General features: G+C 44.4%; 1 long non-coding RNA gene across 5 annotated transcripts in view; it reads left to right on the top strand.

Annotated features, from left to right (window-relative positions):
- Positions 1-2,738: 2,738 nt before the first annotated feature.
- The window catches only part of LOC105374894 (uncharacterized), a 154,998-nt gene continuing 150,047 nt past the window's right edge, over positions 2,739-7,689 (top strand). For all 5 annotated transcript variants that reach the window (XR_007059418.1, XR_007059417.1, XR_001743940.2 and 2 more), the window contains exons 1-2: positions 2,739-2,860; positions 4,781-4,945. This is a non-coding gene — a long non-coding RNA (uncharacterized LOC105374894). The remainder of the gene's footprint in view (positions 2,861-4,780; positions 4,946-7,689) is intronic.

Below are 7,689 nucleotides of genomic sequence, written 5' to 3'. Positions count from 1 at the left end.
GATGACCTTTGAAACTGAACTGCAGCATCGGCTCTCCTGGGTCTCCAGCCTACAGGCCACCCTGCAGATTTTGGGTTAGCCAGCCTCCATAATTGTGTGAGCCATTTCCTTAAAAGAAACCTCCCTTTGTACCCTCTGTGTGTATATACATCCTACTGGTTCTGTTTTTCTGGAGAACCCGGACTAGTTTAGAGGCTTAGTTACAGCAGCTCCACAGATTTCTAGTACCTGCATTCTTGGGACCGCACCCAGGAAGGAGGAGAAACCAGCTGGAGCAGACAGACCTTTCAGAGTTAGTGCACCTTGATGAAGCCACTGCTTCACTCCTGCTTGCCTTTGGTTACGTGTGCTATTAGCAAAACTTGGTTGGTCTCAAGCCATACACAATTCCAAGCATGCTAAAAATTCGGGGAGAGGTATTTGCTACATTTACAAGGGGATGTTTAAATGTTATTTAGGGAAAGCAGAGCATGATAATTACTTGCCAAGCAGGATTCCCTTGACTCAACATTAAAAAACAGATATGAAACAGAAGGCACAGCATTAGAACAACATTTCTCTTCAATAATGAACTTTACTTAACTGAAGTAGATGGTTTAACCCTCAAGTATTCTAGTTTATCTTCATATTCTGGCCCAACAAAATTTCAGCCAATTAGCATTCCTGACTTGGTGTAAGACAATGCATAGCTTTATGGTTTTGACCATGCTTGTTGAATGGAGTGATTGTCTTGACCATTCAGATTGAGCAGGGACCGTGACTAGACAAATCAAGTAGATAACATAGAGAGTAGGTAGCATAAAGATTCAGTGGAAAAAAAATAAAGCACATGTCTTTCTGGCTGGAAGTCATTTCTGAGAAACAGAGAAGTGTGTCCTTCTGGTCCAAGATTCATTTCCAAATTGGTGACTATGAACCCCAGAGGAGTGCCAGTCATGATGGCACCCAAGGCCGCCAGGGGGGCCAAGAAGTGAGTTGGACCTCAGCAAATAGAGGAGGCACTGAAGGAGCAGTCTCAGCTCCATCTCTTTCAGTGCTGAAATAAAATTTTGTGCTACTTGGTTAGTCTTGAATCCTGACATTTGGAGTGAGGGTCAGGGGTATTGGGAGAAGAAGAGGGGAGAAGGAGGGAGACATTTCTAGCCAATTCCAGACATTCTCACAACAATAACAGCATTAAAACACTGTCCAAATGCTCGAAGTGAAAATGAAACATTGGACAGTGAGATTTTAGTGGGAGGAAAGTGGACTTCATATTACATACGCCACGTTCTTGATAAACTACTTGCTAAACTCCTAAAATGCCATGTTCTCTTCCCATTCTAGGTCTTGCCCCATCTTTGCTGGAGACTACCTATTCATTAACCTAACTTTTCCTTGATCATTAGGTCTTTACGCAGAACCACTTCTAGAAGCCTTTCTCATTCTTCCTGTGTGCTGCCACAGCCCTGCCACGTGGTAGAATAACTGCCTCCTAGACTATATGATCCTTGAAGGCAGGGATGTGATTTGCACACAGTTATATCTACCGTGCCTTGAACAGGACATATAAGTGGCCTCCTTCCCACTCCCTAAAGTTTTGACTTTGTCCCAGAGCCCAGTGGATCTGATTTAACCCCAAAGCCGGGCCGCTATAGGGCCTACCTATTCTTATTTAGCTGATCCCATTTTTGGACCTGCTTTGACATAGAAACCCACTTTCTGCATTTATTCCTTATTATATAGTCCCTGCTTGCTACCCCAGCTCTTCCAGAAAATGGATTTCCTTTCTTGAATCTCAGTTTCCCTTGGCTGTACCAAATACCTGCAAGTAGGTCTCCCCAGTTCTGATAATGGAGGCTGGTTGCTTCCATTAGAACTTGTGCCCATCATCAGTTTTTCCAGCTTGTCTTAGATATGATCCTAGACCCTGAGTGTTGGCCATGCCTTCAAAAAATGGGAATTTCAGCATGTTTTGGACCTACCTTTAAGTGCATGTCCTTTAATAACTGATGCTGTCGTTTTTTTTGTTTGTTTGTTTTTGTTGTTGTTGTTTTGTTTTGTTTTTTAGATTCAAAGCCTTGCTATGTTGCCCAGGCTGATCTCAAACTCCTAGACTCAAGCAATCCTCCTGCCTTGGCCTCACAAAGTGCTTGGATTACAGGCATGATCTGCCATGCCTGGCTCTGTGTATTCTAATACTGGTCTCTCACCTAGCCCTGAGGAACCTCTTGGACATCATTCCTGGGCTCTCTGGATCTGTCTGTCCCTCTTGGCAGTTCCCAGATGTCAGGGATTGGCTGTGGGTACAATCTCATAAGCGTAAGGATAAACAGTAATGTGTCTCGGAAACATGCTCAAAGACCTAGATTTTCTATATTTGGAGATTTAAAACTTTTTTCTGCAAATTGCAAAACAAAGACCAGCTGTACTCTCCCAAGAAAAAGCCCAATTATACTCATGCCAGGTGGAGTCCTACTTTTGTAATGAAAATGTAGGGCCTTGTCATAGGTCCAATATGGTCCCCCAGCGAAGTCCACGCCATAATGCCTGGAACTTGGGAATATGTTACCTTACATGGCCAAAGGGAGTTTACAGATGGAAGTAGATGACTGACCTTAAGATAGGGAGACTCTCCAGGTGGGCTCAATTCAATTATCTGCCCTCTTAAAAGCAGGAAACTCTCTCTGGGTGGAGTCAGAGAGACGCAGCAGAAAGGAAGTCAAGGAGATTCAATGTGCAGTTCTGAGAAGGGATTCAGTGTGCCGTTGCTGGCTCTGAGAAGTAGGAGCCTTGTGCAAGGATTCAGGAGAGGCCTCTAGAAACTGAGGATGGCCCTCAACTGGCAAGCACAGGCAACTGAATTCGGCCAGGCATCTGGGTGAGTTTGGAAGCAGATTCTTCTCTGGGGCCCCCACTAAGGATTGTGGTTCTGCTGATAGCTTGATTTCACCCCATGAAACTCTAAAGAGGACCCACTCTGAGTGTGGTGGTTCCCACTTGTAACCCTAGCACTTTGAAAGGCTGAGGTGGGAGGATCACTTGAGCCCAGGAGTTTGAGACCAGCTTGGGCAATATAGTGAGATCCCATCTCTACAAAAAACAAAACAAAACCAGACAGAAATTAGCCAGGTGTGGTGATGCCTGCCTGTAGTCCCAGCTACTCAGGTAGGCTGAGGTGGTAGTCTGGGAGTTTAAGGCTGCAATTGTAACTGCCCAACAGGTTCACCTTGCCTGCTGCTTAGACAAGGCTGATTTATCAAGACAGGAGAATTGCAATAGAGTAATTCACGCAGAGCCAGCTGTGCAGGAGACCAGAGTTTTATGATTACTCAAATCAGTCTCCTCGTGCATTCGGAGATCAGAGTTTTTAAGGATAATTTGGTGGGTGGGGGCCGGTGAGTCGGCAGTGCTGATTAGTAAGGTCAGAGATGAAATAATAGGGAGTCGAAGCTGTCCTCTTACACTGAGTCAGTTCCTGGGTGGGGACCGCAAGATCAGATGAGCCAGTTTATCAATCTGAGTGGTGCCAGTGGATCCATCAAGTGCAGGGTCTTCAAAATATCTCAAGCACTGATCTTAGTTTTTACAATAGTGATGTTATCCCAGGAGCAATTTGGGGAGGGTCAGAATCTTGTAGCCTCCAGTTACATGACTCTTAAATCATAATTTCTAATCTTGTGGCTAATTTGTTTGTCCTACAAAGTCAGTCTAGTCCCCAGGCAAGAAGAAGGTTTGTTTTGGGAAAGGGCTGTTTTAAACTATAAACTACAAACTAAATTCCTCCCAAAGTTACTTTGGCCTACACCCAGGAATGAGCAAGGACAGCTTGGAGGTTAGAAGCAAGATGGAGTTGGTTAGATCAGATCTATTTCACTGTCTCAGTTATAATTTTGCAATGGTGGTTTCACAATAAGCTATGATTGTGCCACTTCTACTCCAGCCTGGGCGACAGAGCAAGCAAGACACTATCTCTAAACAAATAAAATAAAAATAAAAGTAAAAAGAAGACCCAGTTGAACCACACTGTACCCAGACTTCTGAGCTACAGAACTGTGAGATAATACATAGGTGTTGTTTTAAGCCACTGAATTTGTGGGGGTTTGTTCTGGTAGCAATATAAAATGAATGGAGGCCATCACGGAGGTCAGATGGGACCTCAATGGGAAGATTTCCCATTGCCTCTCGCCATCTAAGATCCTTGGGCTGCAAAGTATCTCTCTACTGCTCTTTGCTGATTGCACAGTTAATGAAGAAAACCCCCTGAGCCAAGAACACTGGGATTTTCATCTCCGTCTGACAACAGCTTTCTTCCTGGGCAGGAGCTTCCCTCAGTCCCACATATTTGGAGTTCCACAGCCTTCCCTGGGAGCCAGAATGTGGTCATTTCCTTGCCCAGCCCAGTAGAGCCAAGCTCTAAGGAAGCTGTTATCAAAACAGGAACATTCCTTTCATGTGTCCAGTATTCTGGCTGCAAAGTGGAGAGAGACTTACTCTGCAGCAAAAGCAAAGCATCAAATAAAACATTTCTGTGAAAGACCTGGCAAGCGGGCATGTCAGCTCTCTGAAGACGTCCTCTTGTTCAGCAAAGTGAAATAGTCTATAGAAATAGGGCTGGAACAAAGGGCCCTGGTGGCTTTGTCCTGGATTCCCTATGAATGGTCAGCTTCCTTGGGCAGAGTTCAGTGCAAATGAGGTCAAGGCTTGGCTCTGGAGGCAGGCCAGTGAGCTCCAGTCTATTTTGTGGAGAAAGACTCCCTCTAATTCCAAATGCCTTTATTGAACACCTAATATTTTCCAGGTCCTGTGCTAGGGGCTAGGAAGACAAAGAGAAACAGAGTCACATCCTCCCACAAAAATCCATGAGATGTCGGAGAGCCGAACTTGTAAACAGCCATCATCAACACAAAGAAGGATGCACTGATGCTCTCTAGAGGCTCACAGGAAATGATTCATGGGCATAGAGGTAAGAGACATGAATTCTGCTTGCATATTCCCAACGAAGTGTCACAGGAGAGAGAGTATTTGAGCCAGACTTTGATTGAGAGTCAGGGATAAAAAATTGTTGGTGACATGTATTTGGTGCTTTACATTTTGTAATTTCACTTCAATGGAATTTTGGTAGGCAGAGCACAGCCGAGGTGTTTTAATGTAGAAAACTGTAGGATTAGGTATACGTGGGCAAAAAGATGTAAAACTTCATGATATTTCCAGCAACTAGGCGTTTGCATTGTTACTGGGGTGCTGTTGCTTCTACTTCTCAGTGGACACGGAATCTATCCAGGAATGTTCCTGATTTACATCAGATAGATTTACATCAGGAACATACCTAGATTTATATCAGGAACATGCCTACATAGATTCCCATAGCTGTCTACATAGATTCAGATCTATGATTTTACACCAATGTCTTCAATTCCAAACAGCACCTCAGGGTTCAGTTTAGTTTTCTCACTTTCCATATATAAATGTATATATTTTTTGAGACGGAGTCTCACTCTGTTGCCCAGGCAACAATCATGCAATGGCGCGATCTCGGCTCACTGCAACCTCCACCTCCCAGGTTCAAGCAATTATCCTGCCTCAGCCTCCTGAGTAGCTGGGATTACAGGCGCCCACCACCACGCCTGGCTAATTTTTGTATTTTGAGTAGAGACGGGGTTTCACCATGTTGGACAGGCTGGTCTTGAACTCCTGATCTCAGGTGATTCACCTGCCTTGGCCTCCCAAAGTACTGGGATTACAGGCGTGAGCCACTGTGCCTGGCCTCACTTTCCATATTTGTAACTCCCTTCTCCACAGTGTTCCTGGAGAATAAAGTGCACTGAGATAGAGAAGACAGATGTGAAGGATGGTTTGGGATCTGCCAGGGAGGTCCCTGAGTGCCATGATAAGATAAAAGACTCTATCTCTTAGGTATGGGTGAGTTATTCAAGGTTTCTGAGAAGAGAGTGATAAGATTAAATCAGAAGAGTAAAGTTAACAGACATTTAAATAGAATCAAATAAGGTTTTTAGGTAGAAAGGGAAGGCCTGGGGACATTTGTTGCAGAGTGGTAAAAATGATGTTGGACTGAGTTCAACTTGGTTGCTAGATAGCTCCATACTGCAATGCCCCTGTGTGATAAGCTCAGCGTATTCCTTCACATTCTGGAATGCTTTTTACTTGGAATCTGAAAGTCACTGTGGAGGTGCTCAAGAGGTTACACTGTGCTTGTTTACCCATCATCCATGTCATAACAAGGACCCATTATTACGCAGGAGGGAGATTTCTTTTTTTTTTTTTTTTTTTTTTGAGACGGAGTCTCGCTCTGTCGCCCAGGTGGGACTGCGGACTGCAGTGGCGCAATCTCGGCTCACTGCAAGCTCCGCTTCCCGGGTTCACGCCATTCTCCTGCCGCAGCCTCCCGAGTAGCTGGGACTACAGGCGCCCGCCACCGCGCCCGGCTAATTTTTTTTGTATTTTTAGTAGAGACGGGGTTTCACCTTGTTAGCCAGGATGGTCTCGATCTCCTGACCTCATGATCCACCCGCCTCAGCCTCCCAAAGTGCTGGGATTACAGGCGTGAGCCACCGCGCCCGGCCAGGAGGGAGATTTCTATATAAGGATTTTATAAATGGATAACCTGTGTCACAATGAGGCTGGAGTTCATTGTCAGAGGACACTGGAATCCTTCTTCAATGACTATGTGTAAGTCAGGATGTCTTTTGTGGAGAATAATTGAAAACCCAACATGAGAAGCTTAAACAACAAGGAATTTTAATCACTCCCGTGGCTGACAGTCCAGAGGAATCAGGACAGGCTCGATCCAGTGGCCCCAGATCTTTCCCTGTGATCCTCTTCGCTCTGCCTTCTTCTCAGGCTGGCAGTGAGACGATCACATGATTTTTGGGGTCTCATCTCAATGCCTGGCATTATCCAGAGGAGGAAAAAAGTTTCAGAAAGTCTTCATAGAAGGAAAAAAGACTTTTCTAGAAGTTTTCAGTAATAGTAATAGTCTCCTTGTATCTTAAGAACATTTCTTTCCATTTGTTTTATTTTCTTTCTATTTTTTGAGAAACAATCTCAAATTTAGAGAAAACCTTCAAGAACAGTACAAAAAAGTTATTTCTCTGAATTATTTGAGAGTAATTTGCTGACGTGAAATTCTGTGCACCAGGATAATTTAGCGTATACTTCCTGTGGAACAAAGACATTCTCCTACAAAGCCAAAATTCTAAATCACAGACACCATTCAAGGTTTTTTGTTTGTTTGTTTGTTTGTTTTTTTAGATGAAGTCTCACTGTGTCACCCAGGCTGGAGTGCAATGGTGCAGTCTCAGCTCACTGCAACTTCCACCTCCTGGGTTCAAGTGATTCTCCTGCCTCAGCCTCCCTAGTAGCTGGGATTACAGGCATATGCTACCATGTTCGGCTAATTTTTGTATTTTTAGTAGAGCCAAGGTTTCACCATATTGGCCAGGCTGGTCTCAAACTCCTGACCTCAGGTGATCCACCTGCCTCAGCCTCTCAAAGTGCTGGGATTACAGGTGTGAGCCACTGCGCCCGGCCTTCCATTCCAGTTTTGCCACTTGTACTGATAATGTCCTTGTAAAGGATGTCCGACTTTCATGACCTTGATATTTTAAAAGACTGTAGCCCAGTTATTTTATTGAAGGTCCCTTGGTTTGGGTTTATCTGATGTTTCCTTATGATTGGATTCAAGTTTTG

This window comes from Homo sapiens, chromosome 6, assembly GCF_000001405.40.
Source record: "Homo sapiens chromosome 6, GRCh38.p14 Primary Assembly".
Lineage (NCBI taxonomy): Eukaryota > Metazoa > Chordata > Mammalia > Primates > Hominidae > Homo > Homo sapiens.
Note: the sequence above shows the minus strand (reverse complement) of the source record. Positions and strands in the feature narration are given on the sequence as shown.